The 18,525-nt window shown below is 45.2% G+C and overlaps 1 protein-coding gene and 1 long non-coding RNA gene across 7 annotated transcripts in view; one reads left to right on the top strand and one right to left on the bottom strand.

Moving 5' to 3' along the window:
• The window catches only part of ADORA2A-AS1 (ADORA2A antisense RNA 1), a 65,869-nt gene extending 51,714 nt beyond the window's left edge, over nucleotides 1-14,155 (bottom strand). For both annotated transcript variants that reach the window (NR_028484.3, NR_028483.2), the window contains exon 1: nucleotides 13,771-14,155. This is a non-coding gene — a long non-coding RNA (ADORA2A antisense RNA 1). The remainder of the gene's footprint in view (nucleotides 1-13,770) is intronic.
• The window catches only part of UPB1 (beta-ureidopropionase 1), a 33,059-nt gene continuing 28,946 nt past the window's right edge, over nucleotides 14,413-18,525 (top strand). For all 5 annotated transcript variants that reach the window (XR_001755249.2, NM_016327.3, XM_047441404.1 and 2 more), the window contains exon 1: nucleotides 14,413-14,588. Coding sequence is in view for 4 of the 5 variants with exons in the window: in NM_016327.3 (NP_057411.1) it covers nucleotides 14,485-14,588 (104 nt within the window). In the remaining variant the exon portion in view is untranslated. The remainder of the gene's footprint in view (nucleotides 14,589-18,525) is intronic.

An 18,525-nucleotide genomic window follows, 5' to 3' on the forward strand; every position in this document is an offset into this window, starting at 1 on the left:
TTAGGAATATTAAGCTTAAACTATTACGCTGAAAAGGCTCTACTAGAAGACAAACACACTGAAATAGGAGAAATTAGCTTCCTAGCTAATACAGCTTCTTTGCTAATACAATGACGCAGGCAAGATCCAGGCAGGCAGGTGATGATGGTGGATGCAGTAAGACTGGAGAAGGGGCAGGATGCAAGACAGTTCACAAACAGGAATGACAGTAAAAGTTTAATGTAAGAACAAAGAATCAGGCTTAAGTTTTTAAGTCTTGGAAACTCAAGGATATTAGCAAAGACAAAGATACATTTATTTTAAGGTATGGTATACTGAGCTGAAGACTGCTTTGCTCTGAGAGAATATAATATAATATAGATTCAGAAATGAGACTTTACAAATCATTAGCAACCAGGCTTGAGTTGTATCTAAAGAAAGAATTTAAAAATATTTCAATTAGGCTCTGTGTCAGTGGGATGGCCTCTACATGTTTTCTTTGGTTTTATTTTCTCCTCACTCTCCACTGGTCTCTATTATCAATTCTGTTTGCAGCACCTTTTCCACGGAAATGAAGTGTGATTATAAAGTAACAATGCTGAAGTTTAAGCATACAAGAATTTATCCAAAACTGATTCCAAAAATGTTGTTTTTGCTTTAACACTTTTCTGGAACTTCTGTGTTGGAGTTGCTTTCAGAGTCCATCTACAATCCCAACAAGGAAGCCAATTATTTCACAGTCATACTTTATTTGTGAACACCTCTAACCTGATCATCCATTAACTTAGCTCAGAGTTAATTTCTGTTTTTTCAAAAGTAAAATCTACCCTCGAAAAAAAAAAACACAGATTTCTTGAGTAACCAACACTAAGGTTATTCCAGGGGTTGTGCTCCTTAGGCAACTTCATGAGAGGCTTTCCTGTAGGGGAGACATGGAGAATTAACATGTCTGAGCCCTTACTGAGAGCTGGGCATTGGACTGCTAATTATTTCCCAGACCTGCTTTTCATGTAATCCTTGAAGCAACCATTCAAGCAAGTACTGTCATCTCATGATAAAGAATAAAAGAAAGTTCAAAAAAGTAACTTATATAACTAATACATAGCAGAGTTAGAACTTTAAAAACACAATTTTGCTACTGTACCATGCTGCTTCTAATAAAATAAGAACACCGCTTCCCAATGAACAGAAAAATGATCAGTTAAACAGTATCATTACTATATAATCCTATATTATATGCCTATAGCTTTAATACTCTTTTAACATCATTTGGTTCCCTGCCACTTTCTGTACTGATTAACTCAGGAAAATACTGAGAGAAATATGAGCAACCAGCCATGAGAGTCTGTCATAGATTTTGAGTTAAGTCTATCTGATAGAAACAGAATGTAAGAAACAGAAATGTCTTTGGAGCATCAGGCTTGACTCTCTCTAATTATACTAGAATAATATGGGTTAAGTACATTATAATCCAGGTCAACAAGCAAATAGTATTTCCTTTCCCTTATACACCTTCAAATGGAGGCTACTGTATATTTACCACCAGGGCTTTATTCATGCACTCTTAGTTGAACACAGATAATACGTTTTACTTATTCCTCCTTTGAATTCTACTCATTTATCACTGGAACACTATCCACATTTATATATAGCAGACTCAAACTATCTTAAACTGAATTGGAAGACTGCAGGCTTGAATTATTTAAAAGAAAAACATTTCCACTTGTCCTGCCAAGTACTTGATCAATGCTCACTTAAGTGATGTAATCATCTCCTCTCATTTTGTAAGCTCTATTCTCTCTCTTCAGGTGACTAAGCAGTCTGCAATCTTCCTTCCTTTAATTGAATAATTTTCAGGCTTGTGTCTTATCCTTCCGGTTTTTACAAATTCATGCAATCATTTTCTCCTGTGACTACAGTAAAGGGTTTTATGGCTATGGTCCTTTCGTTAGCACACATGTCTCTAGAACTCTCTAGATCTGCTACACATACACTGTCTCAACGCAGACTTTCATCTACTCTTATGTTCCAGATAGACTAGCTACTCTGCAATGGCTATCTTTTTCTGCTTGTGGTCTTGCTTTTCCTTCTTTTTGATTGACCTTCCTGTGCCTTCCACACATCCCTCTGGCTCAGGTATTTTTTTTCTCCTAACTCAGATATTTTTTTTCTCCATACCTCTCAGATATTTTTTTTCTCCTACCTCTCTGGACCTGCACGGTACTTTTGGTAATGTTATCACCTACTATTGTAAACACAGCTACTGTTTATCCCACCTCTGGACCTGCACGATACTTTTGGTAATGTTATCACTTACTATTGTAAACATAGCTACTGTTTATCCCACCTCTGGACTTGCATGGTACTTTTGGTAATGTTATCACCTAATATTGTAAACATAGCTACTGTTTATTAAGCACTAACCATGTGCTGTGTTTGGAGCCTTATGTATGTAACACAAACTATCCAGCTTTTCCTCCTACCCCTCACAATGCACTTTCCAGCCCCTATAAAATCTGTCACTTACAGGCCTGGCACAGTGCCCGGCACATAGCAGGTGCTCAAGAAATGGAAGGTATTATTATCATAATTATGAGAAGAAGCACCATATGACTTATTCATGTTTGACCCCAATGTCTGGTTCGTTTAATATTTGTTTACAAAACTAGGCAATGGGCTGGGCACAGTGGTTTACGCACTTTGGGAGACCAAGGCGGGCAAATCATTTGAGATCAGGAGCTCAAGACCAGCCTGGCAAACATAGTGAAACCCTGTCTCTACTAAAAAAATGGAAATTACTGGGTGTGGTGGCACATGCCTGTAATCCCAGCTACTTGGGAGGCTGAGGCAGGAGAATTGCTGGAACCCGGGAGGCGGAGGTTGCAGTGAGCCGAGATCGCGCCACTGCACTCCCGCCTAGGCGACAAGAGTGAGACTCCGTCTCAAAACAAAAACAAAAACAAAAACAAAACAAAACACATCTAAGCAATTAAGAGAATAAATGTTGAATGGTTGTAAGCCATCTGTAAGACAAACTGTGCAGCTTGCCATGGACTACTGAAACTAACTCTTTCCAGAGTCTGGACAGGACAAGTACATAGTGGGGCTGTGCTGCCCAGATGCATGGCCTGGAAGTCCGGCAAGAAGCTCTTTTTGGCTAGTGACTGCAGAGGCTGAGTATAGAAAAGGGTCGTCAGTGTGTTGCTCCAACACAGGCCAGTATCAGTTTGGCTCCCTAGGTGCAGAATGTGTGGTCAGACCAACTCACTGGGATCAGAGAGAAACATGAGACTGTAAGAGAGGATTCGGATGATGAAGGAATTCCTGATTCTTAGAACTGAAGGCTGTAACTGTTGCACTCACACAGGCACAAAGGTGGGGCTCTGGGGCTCTGGGATTTGGCAATGGCAGTCTAGGAAATAGTCTATGTTAGTCTGGCAAGATGTAGCAGGATATGCCAGTCACAGTGGTGTGCTCCTGTAGTCCCAGCTACTCGGGAGGCTGAGGTGGGAGAACAGCTAGAGTCCCAGCGTTTGAGACCAGCTTGGGTAACACAGCAAGAACCCATTTCAAAACAAACAAACCAAAAAACAACTCACAGAAAAGAGGTAGCAGGACACAAAATTCAGATTCCAGATTCAAGTCTTTGGCAATGCTAAGTTTAAAAGGGGGCTGTGCACTGAGATATCAGAAAGAGACTTGAGTTTAAGGAAACAAGAGATTCAAGATTAGAGCACAAAAGGGTTTTTTTTGTTTTGTTTTGTTTTTTTGAGACAGGTTCTCACTCTGTCACCCAGGCTGGAGTGCAGTGGCACAATCACGGCTCACTGCAGCCTCTACCTCCTGAGCTCAAGTTATCCTCCCACCTTAGCCCCCCAGGTAGCTGGGACTATAGGCACATGTCATGATGTCCAGCTGATTTTTTTTTTTAAAGATGGGGTCTCATTATGTTGCCCAGGCTGGTCTCAAACTCCTGGGCTCAAGAGATCCTCCCACTTTGGCCTCCCAAAGTGCTGGAATTACAGGTGTGAATCACCATGCCCAGCCACAAAAAGGTTTAATGCCCTAAACTAGTTATTAGATTTGGGACATTAATTCAGGCAGGGCTAGCAGCAAGCAAGGTTGAGATCTGAAGTAGGACTCAGATTCTAGGAGTGAGGGCAGAACTAGTCTAGTGTTTAAGGTGGGGCTGAACTTGCCAGTGGTTGAGTTTGTTGCTGGGGCAGAGAACCTGGTAAGTTATTACAATACTGTAAGCCCTCCACAATGAATCATTAGTATACCTTATAGCTTCTCAGAGTACACAATCTACTTAGCTTCAGTATAAAGTATTTTAAGATGCCAATTATCTGCAGATGGTGAAGTATAGAACATAAGTCTGTTTGGCCTAACTTAACAAATACATAATTCTTTCTACACACTTGTTTCGCCCCGGGCTGTGTACCTATTTGACCTCTTAACCCCCATCGATTTTTGTCCCCTTACGATTCTCCAGATACAACCACTTCCAATTTGAAATTGCTCTTTGCAACCATGAGGTAGTTGTTTCATCCCCAGATTCTGGGACCAGAACTCTTTTCACCATTAGGTTCCAGAAACTAGGGTCCAAATACTCTTGCAATAAAGTGTTTCCTTTAAACCAAATCCAACCAAACATACTTTTAAAAAAGTTAATAATAAAATCTTCCCATCATCTGGCTCTTCAGTAAACTCACAGTTACTGACTTTTACTTCATCAAATACCAGGCTGTCTTGTATCGTTCTTTGGCTTATTTATGGTTCTTTGGATTTGACATCCCTAAGGTTTTCTTGGTTCATATTACAGCAATATACAGAAATCACAGACTGTAATTCAACTACCCATCTGATGACTGACTATCTTCTACAACACTCCCACCAAGTGGTCATCTGGACCGTACCTGAACACCCTGAATGAGAACTCATCACTTGCAGAGACTGCCTATTTCATTTTTTTTTATATCACCCAATGAAAATAACTGTATTGGCCTGAAATATCCTCCCTAAGTTTCTTGAGACAGAGTCTTGCTCTGTAGCCCAGGCTGGAGTGCAGTGGCACGATCTCAGCCCACTGCTACTCACTGCTACCTCTGCCTCCCGGGTCCTGGCTCAAGCAATTCTCCCGCCTCAGCCTCCCAAGTAGCTGGGATTACAGGCACATGCCAACATGCCCAGCTAATTTTTGTATTTTTAGTAGTGACGGGGTTTCACCATGTTGGCCAGGTTGGTCTTGAACTCCTGACCTCATGATCTACCCGCCTCGGCCTCCCAAAGTGCTGGGATTACAGGCGTGAGCTAGCACGCCTGGCCTCCTCCCTTAGTTTCTATCCATTGACTCCAGCTCCTCTCCTTAGGGACATGTGGAACAAATAAAAACCTCTTATATGTGGCCCCTTCAGAAATCTGAATGAAGTGACAATATCCTTCCTGAGTTTGTTTGCCTTGTTTTGCTAAATATATGTTCCAAGTGCCTTTAACATTTTGTTGTTGTTGTTGCTGTTAGATCTCTCTTTTCTGCATATTCAAGATGATCTATATGTCGTGTAGCTATCCCAGAGCTAGATTAATTTCAGGTGTGCTCTGGTCAGCACAGAACAGAATGAGATAGTCATCTTCCTTGTGTTCTGCACACTATACTTCTCATAATGCAACCTAAGATTATATCAGCTTTTTTTGGCAGCCACACACACTGTTGACTCACATTGAGCTTCTAGTCAACTCAATACCCCTAATTCAGCCACACGTACTGCTGCTAGGCCCAATGCATACTTCTGCAATTGTTTTAGCGGGGAGGAAGTGGTAAAGAGAAAGATTTATCACATTGATACTTCATGAAATTTGGGGCCCAAAAATTCAACCTGGGATTTTGCATTCCTGTCATACATAAGCCTATGCTTAGTTTGCTATCCTAAATGATTAGACAAACTAGTGATGAGTCATGGACTGGAGTTCAGCTTAGGCTAGTCAGCTTTGCTTTGTTTCATGGTCTCATGCAGCCTTCTCAAAATTACCGATCTTTCAAATGTATGCTATTTATCCCGAGAAGAACTGGTGGAAAGACTATAAATGATTCAATGCAAAGCCATTATCACCACTGAAAAAAACAACGCAAAGATAAGTATCCAGTACATTAAAGATGGTATATTTATAATTTGCCATGGAAGAATTATATCTAAACACCTTCTCCTTGATTAAAAATAGCATCTATAGAGATAATGCTATATAGATTTTCAAAGATATTTCAACTTAGCTTATTCCATTCCTTCAAGAAAGTGGGGAAGGTATCATTATCCTCATTTCTAGTTCAGTTCAGTCCTTATTGTACCCATGGTATTCCAACACAAGTGAGACCCACCCCATGTGATTAAGGCACTCATATCCAGGGTGTTCTCATTTCTAGTCCAGTTCAGTCCTTATGGGACCCATGGTATTCCCACACAAGTGAGACCCAGTCCGTGTGATTAAGGCACTCTTATCCAGGGCGTTCTCCTGTAAGTGTCAGGCAACATCTGCTCTGCTTGCCCTTGCCATCTGGATTTTAAAAAGGATCTCATACTCCGTTAATCATAAAATCATAGAATCTATGAGAATTAGTCTAATATCTTTGAAGATTAGGAAGAGGTATCAAATAATGCACCTAAAGTTTCAGTTACCTAATAGTAAAACCAGGATTAGAACATATTTATATTCTAACCAGTATTCAGACCAATCTTCTTTCTCTTACACTACTATTTCTCAAGATACAAGTAGGTAACTGTCTGTTATCTACAGCAAGGACATTTCTGAAAATGGGATCTGAGATACACATTCTCTGCAACTCAAGAATGTTATGGCTAAGGATCCCACCAAACTCCTAATCCAAGGGAATATGGGCCAGGAAGCTAATCAGAGAGGGATGAACCATGAGATGCTGAACCAGCGACTTCCCAGTAAACAGATTTGTGCTATATGAAGCAGCTCCCCCAATATCTACCATTGTTAGAGCCACTTGAGGATTTAGACCACTTGTGTTCTAGATAACCAGGGTGCAGAGACAGCTAGAAGTCATGTTGAAAGGAAATAATTATAAATCTGCTACAGCCAAAGGTGGTCTTTTTCAAAAGCAGGCTAAATAAGCCGCTGAGTTAATATAGCTAAAGGAACCCGGTAAGTGACTATGATTGCATCAGTGCACTCCAGCCTGGGCAACAAATTGAGACCTTGTCTCTAAATATTTATCAATACTGATATGGTGTCCAATTTGATTCAACAATCATTTATTGAGTGCCAGTTATATGCAAATCACTGTAGACTCAAAGACATGCCATTCCTTTATCCTTAAGAAACAACAGATTCAGGTTGGACATGGTGGCTCATGCCTATAATGCCTATAATCCCAGCACTTTGGGAGGCCAAGGCAGGAGGACTGCTTGAGCCTTGGAGTTCAAGACCAGCCTGAGCAACATAATGAGACCCTGTCTCCAAAAAACAAAAAACAAAACAAAACAAAAAAAAGGGCATGGTGGCTCGTGCCTGTGGTCTACTTGGGAGGCTGAGCTGCAAGGACCGCATGAACCCAGGAGGTTGAGGCTACAGTGAGCCATGATTGTGCCAATGCATTCCAGCTTGGGCGACAGAGTGAGAGACCCCACCTCTAAAAATAATTAATAATAATGACAATAATGTTTATTTCAAAATAGCCACAAAGAAGTGATAAATATTTGAGGTGATGGATATGCTAATTGGCCTGATTTGATCATTCCGCAATGTATACATGTATCAAAACATCACATTGTGCCCCATAAATATATACAATTATTATTTGTCAATTAAAAATAAAATTTTAAAAACACTTTAGAGGTTTAATATGAATAAAGAAGGTTTACTATGAGTAAAGCAGAGCTGGTCATGAGAGGAGAAGAAACCCACAACAAAAACAAGGGACAAAAAGGAGGCTGCTAAAATGGGGGCCGTAAAACCTTATTTGTCACAATTTTGGCTGGGTTGGCCTTGCTCTGCTGCAAAATCCATTTTTGGTAAGTTTGGGTGGGCTACTCCAAGACTTTTTCATGTGAGACACTTAAGTCTACATAAGGATAAAAAACAATAAAAAATGCTAGTGAAAAAAGAATTGTGACTTCTGGGCTAAGGAATGCAATGTAGGGACAAATTAACCCAGAAATTGGGTTTTAGAATGTTGCTTAGAAATTGGGTCACCTCAGATCTTTTTTCCCTTGACTATAAGTAAAATATTGGCTCTTACAGTTTCTTTCCAGTAAATACCATGTTTAACTTGGAAATCTGACAAATACCAAAAACCCTATCCCCTTACCTCACAGTATTATTGGATGATCAAATGCGACAAGATGACGCAAAAGCCTTTTGTGTGTTGTAAAGTGCTAAATGAGGGCATAAACAGCCCCTCTGGGTCATAGGAGAAGACTGGTGGGATCTCCATGTCATGGCCCTTATTAGAATTGTTCACCATTGATCATCATAACATTTTAGTCCTTCAAATGTAAATGAGTAAAAATAGTACCTTACTATATGATCCAGCAATTCCACTGCTGGGTATATACACAAAAGAAAGGAAATCAGTGTATCTAAGGGATATCTGCACTCGCATCCCATGTTTGTTGCAGCACTGTTCACAATTGCCAAGATTTGGAAGCAACCTAAATGTCCATCAACAGATGAATGGATAAAGAAAATGTGGTACATATACACAATGGAGTACTATTCAGCCATAAAAAGGAATGAGATCCTGTCATTTGCAACAACATGGATGGAGCTGGAGGTCATTAAGTGAAATAAGCCAGGCACAGAAAGACAAACCACATGTTCTCACTTATTTGTGGGAGCTAAAAATTAAAACAACTGAACTCATGCAGATGGAGAGTAGAAGGATGGTTGCCAGAGGCTGGGAAGGGTAGTTGAGGATGGGGGAAAAGTGCAGATGGTTAATAGGTACAAAAAGTAGTTAGAAAGAATGAGTAAGATCTAGTGTTTGATAGCAGAACAGGGTGACTATAGTCAATAATTTAATTGTACATTTAAAAATAACTATGAGTATAATTGGATTGTTTGTAACACAAAGAATAAATGCTTGAGGGGATGGATACCCCACTTACTATGATGTGATTATTACACACTGCATGTCTGTATCAAAGCATCTCATGCACCCCACAAATATATATACCTACTATGTCCTCACAAAAATTAAAAATAAAAAAATTTAATTACCTATACACATTACTTTTTAAAAAGTACTTTAAATACCTTCCCTAAGGATTGAAATAAACACATATTGTGAATTTAAAAGTAATACCTAAAAACAGACACTAATACTTTTTTTTTGAGACGGAGTCTCGCCCAGGCTAGAGTGCAGTGGTGCAATCTCAGCTCACTGCAAGCTCCATCTCCTGGGTTCATGCCATTCTCCTGTCTCAGCCTCCTGAGTAGCTGGGACTACAGGCACCCGCCACCACGCCCAGCTAATTTTTTGTATTTTTTAGTAGAGACGAGGTTTCACCGTACTAGCGAGGATGGTCTCGATCTCCTGACCTCGTGATCCACCCGCCTCGGCCTCCCAAAGTGCTGGGATTACAGGCATGAGCCACCGCTCCCAGCCCCACTAATACATTTTTAAAAATAAGCTCCTTCTGCAGAACCAGCTTCTATAATGAAACTGTTTTCTCACAAATAAGCATATAGAGGAATTTATACATGGCTAGATTATTAGAATCATATTTTATTAGAATTAGGACAAGACTTACATCATCTCTATAGACTGTCTCACCAGTTCCCTCCCCTCCCTTTTTTTTGTTTTGTTTTGTTTGAGACGGAGTCTTGCTCTGTTGCCCAGGCTGGACTGCAGTGGCACGATCTCAGCTAACTGCAACGTCTACCTCCCAGGCTCAAGTGATCCTCCTGCCTGAGCCTCCCAGTAGCTGGAATTACAGGCACGCACCACCATCCCCAGCTAATTTTTGTATTTTTAGTAGAAAATGGGGTTTTGCCATGTTGGCCAGGCTGGTCTCCAACTCCTGACCTCAAGTGATCCACCCACCTCGGCCTCCCAAAGTGCTGGGATTACAGGCCTGAGCCACCGTGCCTGGCCCCTATCTTTTTTATAACAGGAAAACTGAGGTTAAAGTAGAACCCAGACTAAACTGCAGGTTTTCTGACTCCTGTTCTAAGTCTCTTTTCTTCTATAATTTTTTAAAAAAATATTTCAAACATAAAGAAAAGTATTGGTAATAATAAGCACCCAGATTTTTTAAATGTTAATATTGTCATATGTCTCAGATCTCTTAAAAAGAATTAAAACATTATCTATCAACAGATAATTCCCATTCTTCTATTTCATTCCCCTATCTCTCTCTCCAGAGGTATCCATCATGTTGAAGTTGTGTGTATTCTGTCCTTCCTGCCCATGTTTGTATACACTTACCAAATTATGGGTTATATATCCTTAAACCACACCATGTTGCCAGAGAAAGAGTTGTTCTTCCAAACAAGGAAGAATCCCTCACTCTAGTATGCTTCATGCAGTTATAACCTTTTGGGTTGGTGGGATATTTCAGAAAGAAACTAGGGCAAAGCCTTAAGTCTTTTTAAATGATTACCACAGAGCCGGGCGCAGTGGCTCACGCTTGTAATCCCCACACTTTGGGAGGCTGAGGTGGGCAGATCACCTAAGCTCAGGAGTTTCAGACCAGCCTGGCCAACGTGGTAAAACCCCATCTCTACTAAAAATACAAAAATTAGGCGGGCGTGGTGGCGTGTGCCTGTAATCCCAGCTACTCTGGAGGCTGAGGCACAAGAATCACTTGAACCCAGAAGGTGGAGGTTTCAGTGAGCTGAGATTGCTCCACTGCACTCCAGCCTGGGTGACAGAGGGAGACTCCAACTCAAAAAAAAAAGCAAAAAACAAAATGATTACCACAGAAAGAGCTAGTGAAGTGTCTTGCTATCATTCAGAGTAAAAAGTAAATTGGGCAAATATAAACATTTTTAATACAACTTTTTAAATCCTAAGTTTTATTTATGAAACACTGGTTTACAATGAACAAGTACGAATGACCTGTCACTGAACAATAGGGAAAGATGAACTAAACAATTTAACTAGTAATAATAGCTTCTACTACTGCTTCGAGGTCCAGCTCAGTGTTATCACCTTAATGAATTTGTCCATGATCCCAGAGTTGATTCCTTCAATAATCATTTATTGAGTGCTAAAGTCCTCTGGATACAAAAGTAGATCCGGTCCATTTTCTGAGGACAGCACAGAAATAACTACACAATACTGTTTAATAAATGTAACAAGAGAACTATCTATGAAGGCCTGGGGGAGCCTAACTTTTTCTGGGACAATTGGAGAAGTCTTTACAGAAGTGATGTTTCAACTGCATGGTGGAGGATGAGAAGGCGGTCACAAAATGAAGGATGAAAGGTGATTCCAGGTAGGGATACACTGAATGAGAGGGTACAAAGGATGGTAAGATACTAGTTTTAGAAAGACAACTAAGGATAGACATTGGAGGTGGAGAGACAAGTTACAAGACTGGCAACAATTCAAGCAAAAGATGACAGGAGGCAGACATGAGGAGGGAGGAGGAAGGATATGAACAAAATCCAGGAGATAAATTTAGCAGAACTTGATGCCTGATTGTATTGAGGAAAGAAAGAACATGGAGGAGTTGCAGATGACTCTCAAAAACTTGGCAAATCAGTGGGTGGTGAGGCCATTACTGAAATAGGGAATACAGTGCAGAAGATAAGAGGCTGGGCGCGGTGGCTCATGCCTGTAATCCCAGCACTTCAGGAGGCTGAGGCAGGCGGATCACCTGAGGTCAGGAGTTCAAGACCAGACTGACCAACATGGTGAAACCCCATCTCTACTAAAAATACAAAAAATTGGCTGGGTGTGATGACACACGCCTGTAATCCCAGCTACTCGGGAGGCTGAGGCAGGAGAATCGCTTGAACCTGGGAGGCGGAGGTTGCAGTGAGCCAAAATCGCACCATTGCACTGCAGCCTGGGCGACAAAAGCGAAACTCTGTAACAACAACAACAACAACAACAAAAGAAGATAAGAGCCTGCTTGAGAAAGGAGGTGAAAGTTCATTCAGTTTGAAGCATTTTGAGTTGGCTTTGAAGCCTCTTCCATGAGACCTCCAACAATTTCTCTAAGCCAGAAATCACCTCTTTGCACTCCATAGTATCTTTTTCATCTCAAATTATTTAAATCTGCTGTATTTACAAGTTTGTCTTTCCTTTTTTTTTTTTTTTTTTTTTTTTTGAGACGGAGTTTTGCTCTTGTTGCCCAGGCTGGAGTACAATGGCACGATCTCAGCTCGCTGCAACCTCCGCCTCCCCTCCTGGGTTCAAGCGATTCTCCTGCCTCAGCCTCCCGAGTAGCTGGGATTACAGGCATGCGCCACCATGCCCGGCAAATTTTTGTATTTTTAGTAGAGACGGGGTTTCACCATGTTGGTCAGGCTGGTCTCGAACTCCTGACCACAGGTGATCTGCCCGCCTCGGCCTCCCAAAGTGCTGGGATTACAGGTGTGAGCCAACGTGCCCAGCCGTCTTTACTTTAAATCACAAAGAAAAGGTACTAGGTCTTATCTGTCTTTATATGGCTCTCTTAGCAGTGCCTTACACATAGAAAGTCCTCAGAGTTTGCACTCTTGAGAAGGCAGCTCCATCAGATACTAGAAACCGTCAGCTAACATTTATCAAAACAAGGAACAAAACTTGTGAATTAGCAGCTGAAACAAAATACCTGAAGTATAATATTTTTAATGTTAGTAGCTGATTCTAGATATAAATTAGCTCCCTTTGTGCTCATTTTACTTGCCTCTTTTTTTTTTTTCTTTGAGATTGCGTCTCACTCTGTTGCCCAGGCTGAAGTGCAGTGTTAAGATCATAGCTAGGGAGCCTCGAACTCCTGGGCTCAAGCGATCCTCTCACCTCTGCCTCCCAAGAAGCAGGTGCGCACCACCATGATAGGCTAATTTGTAAAACATTATTTTGTAGATACAGGGTCTTGCTGTGTTACCCAGGCTGGTCTGGAGTTCCTGGCCTCAAACAATACCCCTTTCTAGGCCTCCCAAAGTGCTGGGTTTACAGGCATGAGCCACCGTGCTGGCCTTTTCTGACTTTTAAACAACCCCGCAGCGTAATCTTTGCATTCCTATTTTACAGATAAAGCAACAGAAGCCTCCAGCGACTAAGTTAAACTTTCCTGGGGTCACAAGGTTTACAAGTGGCTGAATAGGATTTCTACAGACTGGTTCCTTCACCCGGCTGCCCGCCGAAGTAAGCGGGCCTTACTGCCCTAATTCTCAATAGGACCCCAAAGAGGACGCTTCTTTGCTCCTGAAGGGATGGCACCCTCTGGATTCGCGGTAACAGCAAATGGGGCTCTCACTCCTACCATCTCAGTGACAGTTTAAAGCGCACCCTACCGCAGGAAAGTGCCCATATTTGCACACACGCGGCAGAGGGCAGGGCTGAAAAGGGGCCCTAGGGTGCAGGGGGCGCGCCCTCACCCGGGGACCCCGCATTTTACAATATTAGCTCCACCGAGGCGCACGGAACCGCAGGCGAGCAACTGACCTTCGGCTCCAGCGGCCCCAAAGCCGGGGGTGGGAACGCGCGACCCAGGTAGCGGCATGGACTCCGAGCCTGGCCCCTCGGGGGTTAAAACTCCCCAGACATAAAGGCTCCGGACGACAGAGGTGCAGCCGCCGCGTGCCCGTGGGACACTGAAACTCTTCCCTTACCTTCCTCGGTAGTCCTGTGAGGGAGGCTGGCCCGGCCGGCTGCCCTACGGTGCGGACAGGAGGTCGCGGTCGGGAGGGGCCCTGCCCGGCGGTTGCTGCTGGAACCAGCCCCCGCAAGGGCCCGCAGCGGCCGGGCCGTTTACCTCAGACCCGCGCCGCAGCCTCCCGGAGCCCGCGCCCAGGACTCCCTCACGACCTCTCCAGGGTCCCGGCCCGACACCAAGGGGCAGGTGAGGGGTGGAACCTGGAGGCACCCGCGCCAGGGCCCCTGAGGGAGGCGGGAGGGGGACAGCCTCAGTCCTGACTCGCAGCCGAGGCGCGACGACTCCGCGCAGTCCCGCCTGTGGAGGGGCGTGCCTCATCGCTTGCTAACCGAGAGGCGAAGGGCAAGGGGCGAAGGGCAAGCGCCGGATCCTTTCGCCCCCTCCCCACGTGAGGCCCTGGAGGCTGATTGGCCGTGTGCTGCGGAGGCGGCAAGAGGAACGTGTCCTGGCACGTGCCGAAGGAGCGCTAAAGGCCAGGGGCGGTCCCACCCGCGAAGCCCTGGAAGGCGGATTGGCTGCGCGAGGAAGTGGCGTGTCCTCACTTGAGCTGTCTGGGAGCGAGAGTAAGAGATAAAGGCAAGGGCGCCTGACCGGGCCTGGGCACCTCCTCCCACTGCGGGCAAAGGGCAGGCAGTTCGTGCGCGGACACAAGCACTGGCGGACCGTGGCCATGGCGGGCGCTGAGTGGAAGTCGCTGGAGGAATGCTTGGAGAAGCACCTGCCGCTCCCCGACTTGCAGGAAGTGAAGCGCGTTCTCTATGGCAAGGAACTCAGGTCCGCAGCCAAGAGGCTAAGCTAATGGGGTCTTGGGGCCACAGAGTGTGGGTCTGGGGGAGCAGGCAGGGAGGGCCTCAGGGTCTGAAGGGCTCAGGGGAGGCGGTGAGAAGTCCTGAGTTGGCGGGCAGAGACCATAGTAGGTCTTGATGGGACGGCCCCGGGGTCCTTGGGGGTTGCAGAATCCTGGCGTGACCTTTACAAATCTCTTCTCCCCCACGTTGCCCAGAACCGGAAGGAAAAGGACGGGATTTTACTCTCCAGGGCTTTCTCTGTGGCCATCCCAACCCTCCTCCCCGGAGCCGGGCTTGTCTTCTGGATGTCTGGCTGGATCACTGTCTCCAACCAGAGCACCCAGCAGGTGTACTGATTGTCCGGCCCCAGACCATCCTTCTTGCGGTGACCCGACCTCTGGCTGACCCTTGGAAATAGAGGCTGTCTGCATTTAGTTGGCGAGGGAACCTTTCCCACTGGCAAGCCATGGGCGCTGGTTTTTCCACTCCCTGCAAGCTTGTGCATCACCAGGACTTTCTGAGGGCTGTATACTGCTGGACACTGTGTCCACAAAGCTGAAAAAGACACTTCCTGGCCGGGCTCACACCTGTAATCTCAGCACTTTGGGAGGCCAGGGCTGGAAGATTGCTTGAACTCAGGAGTTCGAGACCGGCCTGGGCAACATAGTGAGACACCCATCTCTATAAAGCATTTAAAAAAATAGCCAAGCATGGTAGCATGCATCTGTAGTCCTAGCTACATGGCAGGCTGAGGCGGGAGGATCACTTGAGCTTGGGAGGTCGAGGCTGCAGTGAGCCAAAATCTCTCCTCTGCACTCCAGCCTGGGAGTCAGAGTGAGGCCCTGTCTCAAACACACACACACACACACACACACACACACATACACACACACACACACACACACGTCTTTGGATTTGGAGCTTACTTGGATAATCCCGGATGATCTTATCTTGAGATCCTGACCTTAATTACGTCTGTGAAGACCCTTTTTCCAAATAAAATCACAATGACAGGTTCCAGGTGTCAGGATGGAGACACAGCTCAACCTGCTACAGTAGCTTCAGGGTCTGCAGGTGGAAATAACTCAGGGGCTATTTGCTATGTGGAGGTGGGCCTCAGGTGGGCGAGGCTGGGCTTGTTGAGCTGCCCTGGAGATGGTCATTCCAGGTGAAGGAGGAGCAGGTACAAAAGAGGGCGCTGGAGAGAATGCTGGAAAACCTGGATATTCAAGGGGTCAGAGAAAGAGACTTTGTGGGAGATTCTGGAGGTGAGGACTCTGGGGCAGGACAGGAAAGAAGCATCAGATGGCTCAGAAATGTCTAGCGGGTGAGGACAGCAGGAAGTCTGCTGGATTTAGCCATGATAAGGCTGTTGGCAGTTCCTGAGATGGGGCCAGGAGGTAAGGCCTGAGCTGAGGGGAAGCATGTGTGGAAGCTCCCTAGGCAGCAGGGAGAGACAGCAAGTGAGTAAACACATGGACATATGTGGAACACTGTCCCTCTTTCTCTTTCTTCCTCACCTTCTCTCCCCCCTATCTCCCTTCTGTTTTTCAACGGGAGAGACTCTTTAACAGCTTCAGTGATGGATGTGGAGGTCTGTAGGTACTAGTGGAGAAAGATGTCCAAGCTATGTGTATTAAGTGAAAAAGGCAAGTTGAAGAACAGAAAATACAGAATGATACCATTGTATTTGTAATGCATACACGTAGGAAAATAGGAAAGAGACATAAAACATTGTTAAGAGGGGTTGCCTCTGAGTTTTGGGACTAGGGGTGGGGTAGAAAGGGGAATGTATGTTTCATTTTATACCCTTTCCCACTATTTGATTCACCCCCGCCATGAGCACATGTCTCTTTTGTAACAGAGCTCTAGTTTAATGATTTAAAGTGCTGGTGGTAAAGAGCCATCAGACATGGAAAGATGAAGTTCCAGAAGTGAGAGGTTGCTGAGGAGGCAGGAACTTGGTGTCCTCTGGCAAGGTCTGCCTGACCCTGGGTGGGAGAGGTGGGGGCCCTGAAGGGCATGGTGGGGCTAGGATGGGAAGTGAAGGGCTTTACTCCTTGAAGTTTGAAGGGAAGCCCTGAGTGGGGAGGCCTCAGTAGCAGGGTGAGGGGTAGAGGGTCTGAAAGCCAACTACAGGGACCAGGGCAGGCAGTGGCAGCAGGAGGCCGTCTGTGAGGTTATGGCTCATTTGCTGGTCTTGTCCTCCTGGGCAGTGGCTGATTGATGTTTTAGTACTTTTGGGCTACTATAACAGAATACCAGACTTCCCTGTACTTGTGGGCAATCACAGGGAGAAAAAGGAGAAGGGTCTGTGTGTCTGTTTCCCCAAAGGTCTGTGGGCCTGGTAGCTGGACAGCCCTTTGGGAACGTCCTAGTGAACACTGTCCTCAGCCTGTGGTCTCACACCAGGAAGAAGTCAGGTGGCAGAGCTCTTGTCTGAGTGTGCAACCCTGGCTGTAACCAACATCTGGCTGCGGTCTCTTTCCCCATCTTAAACCACATGAATTTATTCCTCACAGTTCTGAATGCTATGAAGTCCAAGATCAAGGTGCCACAGCAGATCTGGTGTCTGTTGAGGGCCCACTTTCTGGTTTTTGATGGTGCCTTCTCACTGTGTTCTTACATGGTGCAGGAAGCAAGCATGCCCTCTTGGTCTTTTAAAAGGACTCTACCCTCATGACCTAATCACCTCTGAAAGAGCCCTATCACATTGGAGATTAGGATTTCAACATATGAATTTGGGGCAGACATAAGCATTCAGTCTGTCTCAGTGTTCCACTGCATCTCCTGTACCAGGCCTTTCGGTGGGCACAGCACATGGTCATTGACTGCGTCTACACAGGGTATGGCTTGAGGATTGGTTAGGTTCTCCAAGATGAAGCTGTGTAGGATGTGGTAATGCACCGCCTTTGATAATGGGAGGGCAGAGAGGCCTTACAGGTACTGCCCAGATAGTAGACAGGAGTGGCTGGGAGGAGGTAGAGCCCCAAAGGTGGCTGTCCTGGAGGGTGGAGCGGCCTCTCCTGTATTACCTTGGCTTAGAATGAGCTCGCAGGGAGCTGGGGATAAGGAGGTGGGCAGCCTCAGGGCTGGCTAGGCGGAGGCATCACTTGGGGGAAGAAGGGTAGGTAATGGAGGTTGTGCATGGTGGGAAGATGAGGAGAGAGACTTCAGCCAGGTGGTGGTTACAGCCATGTTTCCACACCCAAGACGAGCTCTTCACCTGACATTTTCCTGGTGTGAGACCACAGGCTGAGAGGCCAGGCAGGGTTCACCAGGACACTCTGAAAGAGCTGTCTGGCTCCCAGGCCCACAGGCCTTCGAGGGAATAGACACATAAGCCTTGCTCCTTTTTCTCCTGGTGTCTGCCCACACCCATATCCTGGAAAGCTGCGTGATTTATGTCCACCAGAGGGGATTTGCTCTGAGGCTGTGGCCTGCAGGAGCGCCCTTCCGCTGGAGGGTGGGAGGACTGTCTAAGGCAGTCACAGCAAGGAGAGGCACGGTGTGGGCACTGCTGCTATTTCTAACCTGCTGGAGTGAAGGGAACCTTGACTACTTGAAAAGCAGGCTGATTGTCAGGGGCGGAACCGAACTCAGAGCTGTCAGGGCCGTCACATGGAAAGTGCCTGGCAGGGGGCGGCGACAGGGGGCTTGGGCTGACAGGGCTGTGATTTTGAAAGAAACGTCTCCAAGAAAGTGATTTAAAGTAGGAGAGAAATATTATTATTAGATAATGGCTGTCAGGTTATTTTTTGATGTGTTTTCTGAGTATTTCATAATCATCTTGCGCTTAGATGGTAAGCCCTTCCTGGCTAGGGGCCGTGTCCCATCCCATGCCTCTGTGGCTTTCACCTTCGGGTGTGCAACAGGTATCAGGAGGTATTTGCTGTTTGGCTAATGGTCACTTCAGTGGAAGG

Source organism: Homo sapiens, chromosome 22 (assembly GCF_000001405.40).
Source record: "Homo sapiens chromosome 22, GRCh38.p14 Primary Assembly".
In the NCBI taxonomy this organism is placed as follows: domain Eukaryota; kingdom Metazoa; phylum Chordata; class Mammalia; order Primates; family Hominidae; genus Homo; species Homo sapiens.